We start from the raw sequence: 17,968 nt of genomic DNA on the forward strand, positions 1-17,968 counted from the left end.
TTCAGGAGTCTCCCAAGTGCACAGGGGCTCGTGCCCAAAGGGTGGAGGTCGGCACCGCTTCGCTCAATCCAGGAGTGGAGAAGGAAGCTAGAGGACCCTCTGGAGGTGGCAGGTTTAATGTCCTGCTTTTTTATTTATTTATTTATTTATTTATTTATTTATTTATTTTGTAATCAACTGAAAGAAGGCAGAAGGAGTCGATGGGCCTCTTAGGCCGGAAACCTTACAAGCATAGGACCAAGGCAGAAAAGGTCCAGAGGGTTCATGGTCCTCCGTTCCACCTGAATCCAGCTAGAGAGCGAGCCAGGGGGATAGGTGTGCCCCTCGTCGCCCGTGCGCTGAGGCACTGTCACGCAAAGAGACATTCACCTTCCACGTCAACGCACCTTTAAGGGCGAGAGCGGTCCGCCGTGCCCAAGAGGAACGGGATGACATTCAACTGGGACTTGCCTCACCTTGGCTTGGGGGACCTCGAGAGCGGTCCCGTGGGGGCGGTGTTACTCGTGGTGGTAGAAGTGGAGGGCGTGTCCGGGTACTTGAGTTCATGGGCATCTCTCCCGCCGCCTCTCAGCCTATCTGCACCATGTCTCACACGTTCAGTTGCAGCTCTTACCGTTTTGAAGGCGCACGTGGGCAAGAAGTCCTGGGCAGCACAAGAAAGTCAATCACGTTGAGACAGAGAGAGCAGGAGAGGAAGTGGGCCCCAGTAGAAGTGGGCGAGAGAGCGTTGGGTGGGAACGTGGCACGAGAGAGAGAAATTATGAGATTGAGAGAGAGAGAGAGAGAGAGAGAGAGAGAGAAAGAGAAAGAGAGAGAGAAAGAGAAAGAGACAGAGAAAAGAAACTATGTTGTTTAAAATGCCAGCGGAAAGTCCATGGGGGTGAAAGAGTCCGGCAATGGCCAGGGAGTTAGCAGCTTGGCGTAGTGTCTTCCCACTGTTTTGTCTGTCTTGAGAATAGCATTCAACGCGACTGTGTTCCCGCAGCAGACGTTAGGCCGCTGCCCACGCCTTGAGTGCCGGACGAGGTCAACATAGGCTTTCCGTCACAGAATATGTTTGGGCAGGAAGATCGGAACACTTGGGGCTGGGCCATCTACCGCTCCCCCACGGCACACACGAGTCGTCAGGGAAATGCCCGCCTCTGTGTGTGTTGTACGTGCAGCCTTCTGGGCAGAGCCGTGGAGAGTTGGACGTAGGCCAGGTGTGAGGAGGAGAGGTGTGTTTGGGGTGGCCACTGGCTCCCTTCCTGCGTGACGTAGGCTGGCGTGGGCTCTTCCCCCAGCCCCTTGCCGGTGCTGCCACGTGAGAAGGGCCCGGGTGCCGGTCCCGCTATTCCGGAATTGTGGGTTCACCTGAAGTTTGAGGCCAAACCCCCAGCGGTCAGTGGGACGCCAGTCGCCTTTGACCTCTTGGTCAAGCTGGCCTTGCCGTGACCCGTGAGAATGCCCAAGTGCCAATGTGTCCCGGGGGGCAGGGCCGGGGCTGGGATCCTCGTGTGTGCCCAGTCTCCTTCTCGTCCCTGCGGGTTCCACCATCCTCCCATCCTAACGCATCGTTAGGGATGCGGTTAGGTCGGGTCCATCCCCAGGGCGGTCCAAGGGGACCGCTTTCTGGTTTGTCAGGAAGGCAGGCTAGTAAGAAGGGTCCCGCCGAGTCCCATCTGCCAAGGACAGGGTCCCGCAGGTGGGCCAGGGCTGGCCCAAAGCGGCCGAGATGCTGATCCGCCATGTGCGGGGCGCTGTTGGCGTTTTTTCCTCAGCAAAGGGCGGAGGGAGTGGACGTGGGGGAAGGGCAGGTGGGCATTTCTGGAGCAATACTGCCATCAAGAGGAACTGGCTTGGCAATCCCGCGCACCCTTCGCTGTGCTCGCCTGGGGAGGAGTGGCTTGGGACTGTCCTGGGGGACCAGGCAGGACTAGGGCAGGTGCTCGGACGGATCCGAGGTCTCTGGAGGTCCGAGAGAAGCAGGCTCCGCCGCGGGGTCGGGCGGTGGAAGCCCCAGAGAGAGGCGCCAGGACTAGCTGGACAGCCAGGACGCCGGGCCGTTCCCGGACAGGAAGCCATGGCTCGGGAGCCTGGTGGCGGCCATGATCTGGGCGGGACCAGCGGAGGCCTCCGCCAGGGAGCCTGGGCTCGGGGCCTTGGGCAGTTTGCCTGGTGCCCCTTCCCGTGGGAGCAACCGGGGTGACGGCCTAGCTGGGTCCTCGGCCCGGGAGGCTCCGTCGGCCACACTGCACGCCTGCGGCGTGAGGAGGGCCGACTGCCAGTGCTGAGTTCCGTGGCCATTGGCGCCGGTGCCCGCCGCTGCTGGCCGGCGCCGGGGCGTTCCTCCTTGCGTCCTAGGGAGGAAGGTGGGCCGCGGGGCATCCCGCGGGGCCCGTACCCAGACGGTTCTTGACGAGGTGGACGCAAGGCCAGGCCCGGCCCGGCCCGGCCCGGCCCGGCCAGGCCACCCTTAGACGCCGCGCACCCGCCTTGTTGAGACTTGCCACCCTGTCTTGTTGTGTCCATGTCCCCGAGGTTGTCTTGGAGGCGGGCCGTTCCCCGTGGTGCTCATTTCTGCCTGGGGGCCTTCCGGGGACCCCGCTTGTCTTTGGGGGTGCGCAGGCCCTTGCCCTGCGATCAGAGGCGCACCGACCGATGAGTTCGGTGGCAAAGCTTGAGAAATGGAGACTCTCTGGGCATCGGCTAAGGGGGCCTGGGGCCTTCCCAGGCCTGCTGGAGTCCGGGAAGCCGGGGGCACCCAGAAGGAAGGACCCGTCGGACTCTGCCTGGGGACAGCCTGCTCCGCGCCAGAAGGGTCCGCTGCTCAGGCAGCATCCCCGTGCCTCTCCTCCAGTGGCTCCCTCAGGTAGAATCGGGGCAGGCCCCACTGGACGTGCAGGGAGGAGGCTCGGAGGATGCATCCTTTGCAGGACCCGGTCTGGTACAGCAGCAGACGGAGCCATCTCCCGGGGCTTTCTGGCTTCTCCGAGGGTGTTCAGGAGTCTCCCAAGTGCACAGGGGCTCGTGCCCAAAGGGTGGAGGTCGGCACCGCTTCGCTCAATCCAGGAGTGGAGAAGGAAGCTAGAGGACCCTCTGGAGGTGGCAGGTTTAATGTCCTGCTTTTTTATTTATTTATTTATTTATTTATTTATTTATTTATTTATTTATTTTGTAATCCACTGAAAGAAGGCAGAAGGAGTCGATGGGCCTCTTAGGCCGGAAACCTTACAAGCATAGGACCAAGGCAGAAAAGGTCCAGAGGGTTCATGGTCCTCCGTTCCACCTGAATCCAGCTAGAGAGCGAGCCAGGGGGATAGGTGTGCCCCTCGTCGCCCGTGCGCTGAGGCACTGTCACGCAAAGAGACATTCACCTTCCACGTCAACGCACCTTTAAGGGCGAGAGCGGTCCGCCGTGCCCAAGAGGAACGGGATGACATTCAACTGGGACTTGCCTCACCTTGGCTTGGGGGACCTCGAGAGCGGTCCCGTGGGGGCGGTGTTACTCGTGGTGGTAGAAGTGGAGGGCGTGTCCGGGTACTTGAGTTCATGGGCATCTCTCCCGCCGCCTCTCAGCCTATCTGCACCATGTCTCACACGTTCAGTTGCAGCTCTTACCGTTTTGAAGGCGCACGTGGGCAAGAAGTCCTGGGCAGCACAAGAAAGTCAATCACGTTGAGACAGAGAGAGCAGGAGAGGAAGTGGGCCCCAGTAGAAGTGGGCGAGAGAGCGTTGGGTGGGAACGTGGCACGAGAGAGAGAAATTATGAGATTGAGAGAGAGAGAGAGAGAGAGAGAGAGAGAGAGAGAAAGAGAAAGAGAGAGAGAAAGAGAAAGAGACAGAGAAAAGAAACTATGTTGTTTAAAATGCCAGCGGAAAGTCCATGGGGGTGAAAGAGTCCGGCAATGGCCAGGGAGTTAGCAGCTTGGCGTAGTGTCTTCCCACTGTTTTGTCTGTCTTGAGAATAGCATTCAACGCGACTGTGTTCCCGCAGCAGACGTTAGGCCGCTGCCCACGCCTTGAGTGCCGGACGAGGTCAACATAGGCTTTCCGTCACAGAATATGTTTGGGCAGGAAGATCGGAACACTTGGGGCTGGGCCATCTTCCGCTCCCCCACGGCACACACGAGTCGTCAGGGAAATGCCCGCCTCTGTGTGTGTTGTACGTGCAGCCTTCTGGGCAGAGCCGTGGAGAGTTGGACGTAGGCCAGGTGTGAGGAGGAGAGGTGTGTTTGGGGTGGCCACTGGCTCCCTTCCTGCGTGACGTAGGCTGGCGTGGGCTCTTCCCCCAGCCCCTTGCCGGTGCTGCCACGTGAGAAGGGCCCGGGTGCCGGTCCCGCTATTCCGGAATTGTGGGTTCACCTGAAGTTTGAGGCCAAACCCCCAGCGGTCAGTGGGACGCCAGTCGCCTTTGACCTCTTGGTCAAGCTGGCCTTGCCGTGACCCGTGAGAATGCCCAAGTGCCAATGTGTCCCGGGGGGCAGGGCCGGGGCTGGGATCCTCGTGTGTGCCCAGTCTCCTTCTCGTCCCTGCGGGTTCCACCATCCTCCCATCCTAACGCATCGTTAGGGATGCGGTTAGGTCGGGTCCATCCCCAGGGCGGTCCAAGGGGACCGCTTTCTGGTTTGTCAGGAAGGCAGGCTAGTAAGAAGGGTCCCGCCGAGTCCCATCTGCCAAGGACAGGGTCCCGCAGGTGGGCCAGGGCTGGCCCAAAGCGGCCGAGATGCTGATCCGCCATGTGCGGGGCGCTGTTGGCGTTTTTTCCTCAGCAAAGGGCGGAGGGAGTGGACGTGGGGGAAGGGCAGGTGGGCATTTCTGGAGCAATACTGCCATCAAGAGGAACTGGCTTGGCAATCCCGCGCACCCTTCGCTGTGCTCGCCTGGGGAGGAGTGGCTTGGGACTGTCCTGGGGGACCAGGCAGGACTAGGGCAGGTGCTCGGACGGATCCGAGGTCTCTGGAGGTCCGAGAGAAGCAGGCTCCGCCGCGGGGTCGGGCGGTGGAAGCCCCAGAGAGAGGCGCCAGGACTAGCTGGACAGCCAGGACGCCGGGCCGTTCCCGGACAGGAAGCCATGGCTCGGGAGCCTGGTGGCGGCCATGATCTGGGCGGGACCAGCGGAGGCCTCCGCCAGGGAGCCTGGGCTCGGGGCCTTGGGCAGTTTGCCTGGTGCCCCTTCCCGTGGGAGCAACCGGGGTGACGGCCTAGCTGGGTCCTCGGCCCGGGAGGCTCCGTCGGCCACACTGCACGCCTGCGGCGTGAGGAGGGCCGACTGCCAGTGCTGAGTTCCGTGGCCATTGGCGCCGGTGCCCGCCGCTGCTGGCCGGCGCCGGGGCGTTCCTCCTTGCGTCCTAGGGAGGAAGGTGGGCCGCGGGGCATCCCGCGGGGCCCGTACCCAGACGGTTCTTGACGAGGTGGACGCAAGGCCAGGCCCGGCCCGGCCCGGCCCGGCCCGGCCAGGCCACCCTTAGACGCCGCGCACCCGCCTTGTTGAGACTTGCCACCCTGTCTTGTTGTGTCCATGTCCCCGAGGTTGTCTTGGAGGCGGGCCGTTCCCCGTGGTGCTCATTTCTGCCTGGGGGCCTTCCGGGGACCCCGCTTGTCTTTGGGGGTGCGCAGGCCCTTGCCCTGCGATCAGAGGCGCACCGACCGATGAGTTCGGTGGCAAAGCTTGAGAAATGGAGACTCTCTGGGCATCGGCTAAGGGGGCCCGGGGCCTTCCCAGGCCTGCTGGAGTCCGGGAAGCCGGGGGCACCCAGAAGGAAGGACCCGTCGGACTCTGCCTGGGGACAGCCTGCTCCGCGCCAGAAGGGTCCGCTGCTCAGGCAGCATCCCCGTGCCTCTCCTCCAGTGGGTCCCTCAGGTAGAATCGGGGCAGGCCCCACTGGACGTGCAGGGAGGAGGCTCGGAGGATGCATCCTTTGCAGGACCCGGTCTGGTACAGCAGCAGACGGAGCCATCTCCCGGGGCTTTCTGGCTTCTCCGAGGGTGTTCAGGAGTCTCCCAAGTGCACAGGGGCTCGTGCCCAAAGGGTGGAGGTCGGCACCGCTTCGCTCAATCCAGGAGTGGAGAAGGAAGCTAGAGGACCCTCTGGAGGTGGCAGGTTTAATGTCCTGCTTTTTTATTTATTTATTTATTTATTTATTTATTTATTTATTTATTTATTTTGTAATCAACTGAAAGAAGGCAGAAGGAGTCGATGGGCCTCTTAGGCCGGAAACCTTACAAGCATAGGACCAAGGCAGAAAAGGGCCAGAGGGTTCATGGTCCTCCGTTCCACCTGAATCCAGCTAGAGAGCGAGCCAGGGGGATAGGTGTGCCCCTCGTCGCCCGTGCGCTGAGGCACTGTCACGCAAAGAGACATTCACCTTCCACGTCAACGCACCTTTAAGGGCGAGAGCGGTCCGCCGTGCCCAAGAGGAACGGGATGACATTCAACTGGGACTTGCCTCACCTTGGCTTGGGGGACCTCGAGAGCGGTCCCGTGGGGGCGGTGTTACTCGTGGTGGTAGAAGTGGAGGGCGTGTCCGGGTACTTGAGTTCATGGGCATCTCTCCCGCCGCCTCTCAGCCTATCTGCACCATGTCTCACACGTTCAGTTGCAGCTCTTACCGTTTTGAAGGCGCACGTGGGCAAGAAGTCCTGGGCAGCACAAGAAAGTCAATCACGTTGAGACAGAGAGAGCAGGAGAGGAAGTGGGCCCCAGTAGAAGTGGGCGAGAGAGCGTTGGGTGGGAACGTGGCACGAGAGAGAGAAATTATGAGATTGAGAGAGAGAGAGAGAGAGAGAGAGAGAGAGAGAGAAAGAGAAAGAGAGAGAGAAAGAGAAAGAGACAGAGAAAAGAAACTATGTTGTTTAAAATGCCAGCGGAAAGTCCATGGGGGTGAAAGAGTCCGGCAATGGCCAGGGAGTTAGCAGCTTGGCGTAGTGTCTTCCCACTGTTTTGTCTGTCTTGAGAATAGCATTCAACGCGACTGTGTTCCCGCAGCAGACGTTAGGCCGCTGCCCACGCCTTGAGTGCCGGACGAGGTCAACATAGGCTTTCCGTCACAGAATATGTTTGGGCAGGAAGATCGGAACACTTGGGGCTGGGCCATCTACCGCTCCCCCACGGCACACACGAGTCGTCAGGGAAATGCCCGCCTCTGTGTGTGTTGTACGTGCAGCCTTCTGGGCAGAGCCGTGGAGAGTTGGACGTAGGCCAGGTGTGAGGAGGAGAGGTGTGTTTGGGGTGGCCACTGGCTCCCTTCCTGCGTGACGTAGGCTGGCGTGGGCTCTTCCCCCAGCCCCTTGCCGGTGCTGCCACGTGAGAAGGGCCCGGGTGCCGGTCCCGCTATTCCGGAATTGTGGGTTCACCTGAAGTTTGAGGCCAAACCCCCAGCGGTCAGTGGGACGCCAGTCGCCTTTGACCTCTTGGTCAAGCTGGCCTTGCCGTGACCCGTGAGAATGCCCAAGTGCCAATGTGTCCCGGGGGGCAGGGCCGGGGCTGGGATCCTCGTGTGTGCCCAGTCTCCTTCTCGTCCCTGCGGGTTCCACCATCCTCCCATCCTAACGCATCGTTAGGGATGCGGTTAGGTCGGGTCCATCCCCAGGGCGGTCCAAGGGGACCGCTTTCTGGTTTGTCAGGAAGGCAGGCTAGTAAGAAGGGTCCCGCCGAGTCCCATCTGCCAAGGACAGGGTCCCGCAGGTGGGCCAGGGCTGGCCCAAAGCGGCCGAGATGCTGATCCGCCATGTGCGGGGCGCTGTTGGCGTTTTTTCCTCAGCAAAGGGCGGAGGGAGTGGACGTGGGGGAAGGGCAGGTGGGCATTTCTGGAGCAATACTGCCATCAAGAGGAACTGGCTTGGCAATCCCGCGCACCCTTCGCTGTGCTCGCCTGGGGAGGAGTGGCTTGGGACTGTCCTGGGGGACCAGGCAGGACTAGGGCAGGTGCTCGGACGGATCCGAGGTCTCTGGAGGTCCGAGAGAAGCAGGCTCCGCCGCGGGGTCGGGCGGTGGAAGCCCCAGAGAGAGGCGCCAGGACTAGCTGGACAGCCAGGACGCCGGGCCGTTCCCGGACAGGAAGCCATGGCTCGGGAGCCTGGTGGCGGCCATGATCTGGGCGGGACCAGCGGAGGCCTCCGCCAGGGAGCCTGGGCTCGGGGCCTTGGGCAGTTTGCCTGGTGCCCCTTCCCGTGGGAGCAACCGGGGTGACGGCCTAGCTGGGTCCTCGGCCCGGGAGGCTCCGTCGGCCACACTGCACGCCTGCGGCGTGAGGAGGGCCGACTGCCAGTGCTGAGTTCCGTGGCCATTGGCGCCGGTGCCCGCCGCTGCTGGCCGGCGCCGGGGCGTTCCTCCTTGCGTCCTAGGGAGGAAGGTGGGCCGCGGGGCATCCCGCGGGGCCCGTACCCAGACGGTTCTTGACGAGGTGGACGCAAGGCCAGGCCCGGCCCGGCCCGGCCCGGCCCGGCCAGGCCACCCTTAGACGCCGCGCACCCGCCTTGTTGAGACTTGCCACCCTGTCTTGTTGTGTCCATGTCCCCGAGGTTGTCTTGGAGGCGGGCCGTTCCCCGTGGTGCTCATTTCTGCCTGGGGGCCTTCCGGGGACCCCGCTTGTCTTTGGGGGTGCGCAGGCCCTTGCCCTGCGATCAGAGGCGCACCGACCGATGAGTTCGGTGGCAAAGCTTGAGAAATGGAGACTCTCTGGGCATCGGCTAAGGGGGCCCGGGGCCTTCCCAGGCCTGCTGGAGTCCGGGAAGCCGGGGGCACCCAGAAGGAAGGACCCGTCGGACTCTGCCTGGGGACAGCCTGCTCCGCGCCAGAAGGGTCCGCTGCTCAGGCAGCATCCCCGTGCCTCTCCTCCAGTGGGTCCCTCAGGTAGAATCGGGGCAGGCCCCACTGGACGTGCAGGGAGGAGGCTCGGAGGATGCATCCTTTGCAGGACCCGGTCTGGTACAGCAGCAGACGGAGCCATCTCCCGGGGCTTTCTGGCTTCTCCGAGGGTGTTCAGGAGTCTCCCAAGTGCACAGGGGCTCGTGCCCAAAGGGTGGAGGTCGGCACCGCTTCGCTCAATCCAGGAGTGGAGAAGGAAGCTAGAGGACCCTCTGGAGGTGGCAGGTTTAATGTCCTGCTTTTTTATTTATTTATTTATTTATTTATTTATTTATTTATTTATTTTGTAATCAACTGAAAGAAGGCAGAAGGAGTCGATGGGCCTCTTAGGCCGGAAACCTTACAAGCATAGGACCAAGGCAGAAAAGGTCCAGAGGGTTCATGGTCCTCCGTTCCACCTGAATCCAGCTAGAGAGCGAGCCAGGGGGATAGGTGTGCCCCTCGTCGCCCGTGCGCTGAGGCACTGTCACGCAAAGAGACATTCACCTTCCACGTCAACGCACCTTTAAGGGCGAGAGCGGTCCGCCGTGCCCAAGAGGAACGGGATGACATTCAACTGGGACTTGCCTCACCTTGGCTTGGGGGACCTCGAGAGCAGTCCCGTGGGGGCGGTGTTACTCGTGGTGGTAGAAGTGGAGGGCGTGTCCGGGTACTTGAGTTCATGGGCATCTCTCCCGCCGCCTCTCAGCCTATCTGCACCATGTCTCACACGTTCAGTTGCAGCTCTTACCGTTTTGAAGGCGCACGTGGGCAAGAAGTCCTGGGCAGCACAAGAAAGTCAATCACGTTGAGACAGAGAGAGCAGGAGAGGAAGTGGGCCCCAGTAGAAGTGGGCGAGAGAGCGTTGGGTGGGAACGTGGCACGAGAGAGAGAAATTATGAGATTGAGAGAGAGAGAGAGAGAGAGAGAGAGAGAGAAAGAGAAAGAGAGAGAGAAAGAGAAAGAGACAGAGAAAAGAAACTATGTTGTTTAAAATGCCAGCGGAAAGTCCATGGGGGTGAAAGAGTCCGGCAATGGCCAGGGAGTTAGCAGCTTGGCGTAGTGTCTTCCCACTGTTTTGTCTGTCTTGAGAATAGCATTCAACGCGACTGTGTTCCCGCAGCAGACGTTAGGCCGCTGCCCACGCCTTGAGTGCCGGACGAGGTCAACATAGGCTTTCCGTCACAGAATATGTTTGGGCAGGAAGATCGGAACACTTGGGGCTGGGCCATCTACCGCTCCCCCACGGCACACACGAGTCGTCAGGGAAATGCCCGCCTCTGTGTGTGTTGTACGTGCAGCCTTCTGGGCAGAGCCGTGGAGAGTTGGACGTAGGCCAGGTGTGAGGAGGAGAGGTGTGTTTGGGGTGGCCACTGGCTCCCTTCCTGCGTGACGTAGGCTGGCGTGGGCTCTTCCCCCAGCCCCTTGCCGGTGCTGCCACGTGAGAAGGGCCCGGGTGCCGGTCCCGCTATTCCGGAATTGTGGGTTCACCTGAAGTTTGAGGCCAAACCCCCAGCGGTCAGTGGGACGCCAGTCGCCTTTGACCTCTTGGTCAAGCTGGCCTTGCCGTGACCCGTGAGAATGCCCAAGTGCCAATGTGTCCCGGGGGGCAGGGCCGGGGCTGGGATCCTCGTGTGTGCCCAGTCTCCTTCTCGTCCCTGCGGGTTCCACCATCCTCCCATCCTAACGCATCGTTAGGGATGCGGTTAGGTCGGGTCCATCCCCAGGGCGGTCCAAGGGGACCGCTTTCTGGTTTGTCAGGAAGGCAGGCTAGTAAGAAGGGTCCCGCCGAGTCCCATCTGCCAAGGACAGGGTCCCGCAGGTGGGCCAGGGCTGGCCCAAAGCGGCCGAGATGCTGATCCGCCATGTGCGGGGCGCTGTTGGCGTTTTTTCCTCAGCAAAGGGCGGAGGGAGTGGACGTGGGGGAAGGGCAGGTGGGCATTTCTGGAGCAATACTGCCATCAAGAGGAACTGGCTTGGCAATCCCGCGCACCCTTCGCTGTGCTCGCCTGGGGAGGAGTGGCTTGGGACTGTCCTGGGGGACCAGGCAGGACTAGGGCAGGTGCTCGGACGGATCCGAGGTCTCTGGAGGTCCGAGAGAAGCAGGCTCCGCCGCGGGGTCGGGCGGTGGAAGCCCCAGAGAGAGGCGCCAGGACTAGCTGGACAGCCAGGACGCCGGGCCGTTCCCGGACAGGAAGCCATGGCTCGGGAGCCTGGTGGCGGCCATGATCTGGGCGGGACCAGCGGAGGCCTCCGCCAGGGAGCCTGGGCTCGGGGCCTTGGGCAGTTTGCCTGGTGCCCCTTCCCGTGGGAGCAACCGGGGTGACGGCCTAGCTGGGTCCTCGGCCCGGGAGGCTCCGTCGGCCACACTGCACGCCTGCGGCGTGAGGAGGGCCGACTGCCAGTGCTGAGTTCCGTGGCCATTGGCGCCGGTGCCCGCCGCTGCTGGCCGGCGCCGGGGCGTTCCTCCTTGCGTCCTAGGGAGGAAGGTGGGCCGCGGGGCATCCCGCGGGGCCCGTACCCAGACGGTTCTTGACGAGGTGGACGCAAGGCCAGGCCCGGCCCGGCCCGGCCCGGCCCGGCCAGGCCACCCTTAGACGCCGCGCACCCGCCTTGTTGAGACTTGCCACCCTGTCTTGTTGTGTCCATGTCCCCGAGGTTGTCTTGGAGGCGGGCCGTTCCCCGTGGTGCTCATTTCTGCCTGGGGGCCTTCCGGGGACCCCGCTTGTCTTTGGGGGTGCGCAGGCCCTTGCCCTGCGATCAGAGGCGCACCGACCGATGAGTTCGGTGGCAAAGCTTGAGAAATGGAGACTCTCTGGGCATCGGCTAAGGGGGCCCGGGGCCTTCCCAGGCCTGCTGGAGTCCGGGAAGCCGGGGGCACCCAGAAGGAAGGACCCGTCGGACTCTGCCTGGGGACAGCCTGCTCCGCGCCAGAAGGGTCCGCTGCTCAGGCAGCATCCCCGTGCCTCTCCTCCAGTGGGTCCCTCAGGTAGAATCGGGGCAGGCCCCACTGGACGTGCAGGGAGGAGGCTCGGAGGATGCATCCTTTGCAGGACCCGGTCTGGTACAGCAGCAGACGGAGCCATCTCCCGGGGCTTTCTGGCTTCTCCGAGGGTGTTCAGGAGTCTCCCAAGTGCACAGGGGCTCGTGCCCAAAGGGTGGAGGTCGGCACCGCTTCGCTCAATCCAGGAGTGGAGAAGGAAGCTAGAGGACCCTCTGGAGGTGGCAGGTTTAATGTCCTGCTTTTTTATTTATTTATTTATTTATTTATTTATTTATTTTGTAATCAACTGAAAGAAGGCAGAAGGAGTCGATGGGCCTCTTAGGCCGGAAACCTTACAAGCATAGGACCAAGGCAGAAAAGGTCCAGAGGGTTCATGGTCCTCCGTTCCACCTGAATCCAGCTAGAGAGCGAGCCAGGGGGATAGGTGTGCCCCTCGTCGCCCGTGCGCTGAGGCACTGTCACGCAAAGAGACATTCACCTTCCACGTCAACGCACCTTTAAGGGCGAGAGCGGTCCGCCGTGCCCAAGAGGAACGGGATGACATTCAACTGGGACTTGCCTCACCTTGGCTTGGGGGACCTCGAGAGCGGTCCCGTGGGGGCGGTGTTACTCGTGGTGGTAGAAGTGGAGGGCGTGTCCGGGTACTTGAGTTCATGGGCATCTCTCCCGCCGCCTCTCAGCCTATCTGCACCATGTCTCACACGTTCAGTTGCAGCTCTTACCGTTTTGAAGGCGCACGTGGGCAAGAAGTCCTGGGCAGCACAAGAAAGTCAATCACGTTGAGACAGAGAGAGCAGGAGAGGAAGTGGGCCCCAGTAGAAGTGGGCGAGAGAGCGTTGGGTGGGAACGTGGCACGAGAGAGAGAAATTATGAGATTGAGAGAGAGAGAGAGAGAGAGAGAGAGAGAGAGAGAGAGAGAAAGAGAAAGAGAGAGAGAAAGAGAAAGAGACAGAGAAAAGAAACTATGTTGTTTAAAATGCCAGCGGAAAGTCCATGGGGGTGAAAGAGTCCGGCAATGGCCAGGGAGTTAGCAGCTTGGCGTAGTGTCTTCCCACTGTTTTGTCTGTCTTGAGAATAGCATTCAACGCGACTGTGTTCCCGCAGCAGACGTTAGGCCGCTGCCCACGCCTTGAGTGCCGGACGAGGTCAACATAGGCTTTCCGTCACAGAATATGTTTGGGCAGGAAGATCGGAACACTTGGGGCTGGGCCATCTACCGCTCCCCCACGGCACACACGAGTCGTCAGGGAAATGCCCGCCTCTGTGTGTGTTGTACGTGCAGCCTTCTGGGCAGAGCCGTGGAGAGTTGGACGTAGGCCAGGTGTGAGGAGGAGAGGTGTGTTTGGGGTGGCCACTGGCTCCCTTCCTGCGTGACGTAGGCTGGCGTGGGCTCTTCCCCCAGCCCCTTGCCGGTGCTGCCACGTGAGAAGGGCCCGGGTGCCGGTCCCGCTATTCCGGAATTGTGGGTTCACCTGAAGTTTGAGGCCAAACCCCCAGCGGTCAGTGGGACGCCAGTCGCCTTTGACCTCTTGGTCAAGCTGGCCTTGCCGTGACCCGTGAGAATGCCCAAGTGCCAATGTGTCCCGGGGGGCAGGGCCGGGGCTGGGATCCTCGTGTGTGCCCAGTCTCCTTCTCGTCCCTGCGGGTTCCACCATCCTCCCATCCTAACGCATCGTTAGGGATGCGGTTAGGTCGGGTCCATCCCCAGGGCGGTCCAAGGGGACCGCTTTCTGGTTTGTCAGGAAGGCAGGCTAGTAAGAAGGGTCCCGCCGAGTCCCATCTGCCAAGGACAGGGTCCCGCAGGTGGGCCAGGGCTGGCCCAAAGCGGCCGAGATGCTGATCCGCCATGTGCGGGGCGCTGTTGGCGTTTTTTCCTCAGCAAAGGGCGGAGGGAGTGGACGTGGGGGAAGGGCAGGTGGGCATTTCTGGAGCAATACTGCCATCAAGAGGAACTGGCTTGGCAATCCCGCGCACCCTTCGCTGTGCTCGCCTGGGGAGGAGTGGCTTGGGACTGTCCTGGGGGACCAGGCAGGACTAGGGCAGGTGCTCGGACGGATCCGAGGTCTCTGGAGGTCCGAGAGAAGCAGGCTCCGCCGCGGGGTCGGGCGGTGGAAGCCCCAGAGAGAGGCGCCAGGACTAGCTGGACAGCCAGGACGCCGGGCCGTTCCCGGACAGGAAGCCATGGCTCGGGAGCCTGGTGGCGGCCATGATCTGGGCGGGACCAGCGGAGGCCTCCGCCAGGGAGCCTGGGCTCGGGGCCTTGGGCAGTTTGCCTGGTGCCCCTTCCCGTGGGAGCAACCGGGGTGACGGCCTAGCTGGGTCCTCGGCCCGGGAGGCTCCGTCGGCCACACTGCACGCCTGCGGCGTGAGGAGGGCCGACTGCCAGTGCTGAGTTCCGTGGCCATTGGCGCCGGTGCCCGCCGCTGCTGGCCGGCGCCGGGGCGTTCCTCCTTGCGTCCTAGGGAGGAAGGTGGGCCGCGGGGCATCCCGCGGGGCCCGTACCCAGACGGTTCTTGACGAGGTGGACGCAAGGCCAGGCCCGGCCCGGCCCGGCCCGGCCCGGCCAGGCCACCCTTAGACGCCGCGCACCCGCCTTGTTGAGACTTGCCACCCTGTCTTGTTGTGTCCATGTCCCCGAGGTTGTCTTGGAGGCGGGCCGTTCCCCGTGGTGCTCATTTCTGCCTGGGGGCCTTCCGGGGACCCCGCTTGTCTTTGGGGGTGCGCAGGCCCTTGCCCTGCGATCAGAGGCGCACCGACCGATGAGTTCGGTGGCAAAGCTTGAGAAATGGAGACTCTCTGGGCATCGGCTAAGGGGGCCCGGGGCCTTCCCAGGCCTGCTGGAGTCCGGGAAGCCGGGGGCACCCAGAAGGAAGGACCCGTCGGACTCTGCCTGGGGACAGCCTGCTCCGCGCCAGAAGGGTCCGCTGCTCAGGCAGCATCCCCGTGCCTCTCCTCCAGTGGGTCCCTCAGGTAGAATCGGGGCAGGCCCCACTGGACGTGCAGGGAGGAGGCTCGGAGGATGCATCCTTTGCAGGACCCGGTCTGGTACAGCAGCAGACGGAGCCATCTCCCGGGGCTTTCTGGCTTCTCCGAGGGTGTTCAGGAGTCTCCCAAGTGCACAGGGGCTCGTGCCCAAAGGGTGGAGGTCGGCACCGCTTCGCTCAATCCAGGAGTGGAGAAGGAAGCTAGAGGACCCTCTGGAGGTGGCAGGTTTAATGTCCTGCTTTTTTATTTATTTATTTATTTATTTATTTATTTATTTATTTTGTAATCAACTGAAAGAAGGCAGAAGGAGTCGATGGGCCTCTTAGGCCGGAAACCTTACAAGCATAGGACCAAGGCAGAAAAGGGCCAGAGGGTTCATGGTCCTCCGTTCCACCTGAATCCAGCTAGAGAGCGAGCCAGGGGGATAGGTGTGCCCCTCGTCGCCCGTGCGCTGAGGCACTGTCACGCAAAGAGACATTCACCTTCCACGTCAACGCACCTTTAAGGGCGAGAGCGGTCCGCCGTGCCCAAGAGGAACGGGATGACATTCAACTGGGACTTGCCTCACCTTGGCTTGGGGGACCTCGAGAGCGGTCCCGTGGGGGCGGTGTTACTCGTGGTGGTAGAAGTGGAGGGCGTGTCCGGGTACTTGAGTTCATGGGCATCTCTCCCGCCGCCTCTCAGCCTATCTGCACCATGTCTCACACGTTCAGTTGCAGCTCTTACCGTTTTGAAGGCGCACGTGGGCAAGAAGTCCTGGGCAGCACAAGAAAGTCAATCACGTTGAGACAGAGAGAGCAGGAGAGGAAGTGGGCCCCAGTAGAAGTGGGCGAGAGAGCGTTGGGTGGGAACGTGGCACGAGAGAGAGAAATTATGAGATTGAGAGAGAGAGAGAGAGAGAGAGAGAGAGAGAAAGAGAAAGAGAGAGAGAAAGAGAAAGAGACAGAGAAAAGAAACTATGTTGTTTAAAATGCCAGCGGAAAGTCCATGGGGGTGAAAGAGTCCGGCAATGGCCAGGGAGTTAGCAGCTTGGCGTAGTGTCTTCCCACTGTTTTGTCTGTCTTGAGAATAGCATTCAACGCGACTGTGTTCCCGCAGCAGACGTTAGGCCGCTGCCCACGCCTTGAGTGCCGGACGAGGTCAACATAGGCTTTCCGTCACAGAATATGTTTGGGCAGGAAGATCGGAACACTTGGGGCTGGGCCATCTACCGCTCCCCCACGGCACACACGAGTCGTCAGGGAAATGCCCGCCTCTGTGTGTGTTGTACGTGCAGCCTTCTGGGCAGAGCCGTGGAGAGTTGGACGTAGGCCAGGTGTGAGGAGGAGAGGTGTGTTTGGGGTGGCCACTGGCTCCCTTCCTGCGTGACGTAGGCTGGCGTGGGCTCTTCCCCCAGCCCCTTGCCGGTGCTGCCACGTGAGAAGGGCCCGGGTGCCGGTCCCGCTATTCCGGAATTGTGGGTTCACCTGAAGTTTGAGGCCAAACCCCCAGCGGTCAGTGGGACGCCAGTCGCCTTTGACCTCTTGGTCAAGCTGGCCTTGCCGTGACCCGTGAGAATGCCCAAGTGCCAATGTGTCCCGGGGGGCAGGGCCGGGGCTGGGATCCTCGTGTGTGCCCAGTCTCCTTCTCGTCCCTGCGGGTTCCACCATCCTCCCATCCTAACGCATCGTTAGGGATGCGGTTAGGTCGGGTCCATCCCCAGGGCGGTCCAAGGGGACCGCTTTCTGGTTTGTCAGGAAGGCAGGCTAGTAAGAAGGGTCCCGCCGAGTCCCATCTGCCAAGGACAGGGTCCCGCAGGTGGGCCAGGGCTGGCCCAAAGCGGCCGAGATGCTGATCCGCCATGTGCGGGGCGCTGTTGGCGTTTTTTCCTCAGCAAAGGGCGGAGGGAGTGGACGTGGGGGAAGGGCAGGTGGGCATTTCTGGAGCAATACTGCCATCAAGAGGAACTGGCTTGGCAATCCCGCGCACCCTTCGCTGTGCTCGCCTGGGGAGGAGTGGCTTGGGACTGTCCTGGGGGACCAGGCAGGACTAGGGCAGGTGCTCGGACGGATCCGAGGTCTCTGGAGGTCCGAGAGAAGCAGGCTCCGCCGCGGGGTCGGGCGGTGGAAGCCCCAGAGAGAGGCGCCAGGACTAGCTGGACAGCCAGGACGCCGGGCCGTTCCCGGACAGGAAGCCATGGCTCGGGAGCCTGGTGGCGGCCATGATCTGGGCGGGACCAGCGGAGGCCTCCGCCAGGGAGCCTGGGCTCGGGGCCTTGGGCAGTTTGCCTGGTGCCCCTTCCCGTGGGAGCAACCGGGGTGACGGCCTAGCTGGGTCCTCGGCCCGGGAGGCTCCGTCGGCCACACTGCACGCCTGCGGCGTGAGGAGGGCCGACTGCCAGTGCTGAGTTCCGTGGCCATTGGCGCCGGTGCCCGCCGCTGCTGGCCGGCGCCGGGGCGTTCCTCCTTGCGTCCTAGGGAGGAAGGTGGGCCGCGGGGCATCCCGCGGGGCCCGTACCCAGACGGTTCTTGACGAGGTGGACGCAAGGCCAGGCCCGGCCCGGCCCGGCCCGGCCCGGCCAGGCCACCCTTAGACGCCGCGCACCCGCCTTGTTGAGACTTGCCACCCTGTCTTGTTGTGTCCATGTCCCCGAGGTTGTCTTGGAGGCGGGCCGTTCCCCGTGGTGCTCATTTCTGCCTGGGGGCCTTCCGGGGACCCCGCTTGTCTTTGGGGGTGCGCAGGCCCTTGCCCTGCGATCAGAGGCGCACCGACCGATGAGTTCGGTGGCAAAGCTTGAGAAATGGAGACTCTCTGGGCATCGGCTAAGGGGGCCCGGGGCCTTCCCAGGCCTGCTGGAGTCCGGGAAGCCGGGGGCACCCAGAAGGAAGGACCCGTCGGACTCTGCCTGGGGACAGCCTGCTCCGCGCCAGAAGGGTCCGCTGCTCAGGCAGCATCCCCGTGCCTCTCCTCCAGTGGGTCCCTCAGGTAGAATCGGGGCAGGCCCCACTGGACGTGCAGGGAGGAGGCTCGGAGGATGCATCCTTTGCAGGACCCGGTCTGGTACAGCAGCAGACGGAGCCATCTCCCGGGGCTTTCTGGCTTCTCCGAGGGTGTTCAGGAGTCTCCCAAGTGCACAGGGGCTCGTGCCCAAAGGGTGGAGGTCGGCACCGCTT

At 62.2% G+C, this 17,968-nt stretch overlaps 2 long non-coding RNA genes across 3 annotated transcripts in view, besides 1 other annotated feature; one reads left to right on the forward strand and one right to left on the reverse strand.

The window, feature by feature from the left end:
* The window catches only part of DANT2 (DXZ4 associated non-coding transcript 2, distal), a 128,716-nt gene that overhangs the window by 13,960 nt on the left and 96,788 nt on the right, over positions 1–17,968 (reverse strand). The window lies entirely within an intron of this gene.
* Positions 1–17,968, forward strand: part of DANT1 (DXZ4 associated non-coding transcript 1, proximal) — a 64,564-nt gene that overhangs the window by 13,392 nt on the left and 33,204 nt on the right. The window lies entirely within an intron of this gene.
* Positions 12,642–13,272: an enhancer, noted in NCBI's record as "H3K27ac-H3K4me1 hESC enhancer chrX:114983330-114983960 (GRCh37/hg19 assembly coordinates)". NCBI's record gives its function as "activates a minimal SCP1, AML or CMV promoter by ChIP-STARR-seq in primed H9 embryonic stem cells {active_cell/tissue: H9 hESC(primed)}" and the evidence as "EXISTENCE:reporter gene assay evidence [ECO:0000049][PMID:30033119]".

This window comes from Homo sapiens, chromosome X (genome assembly GCF_000001405.40).
Source record: "Homo sapiens chromosome X, GRCh38.p14 Primary Assembly".
Lineage (NCBI taxonomy): Eukaryota > Metazoa > Chordata > Mammalia > Primates > Hominidae > Homo > Homo sapiens.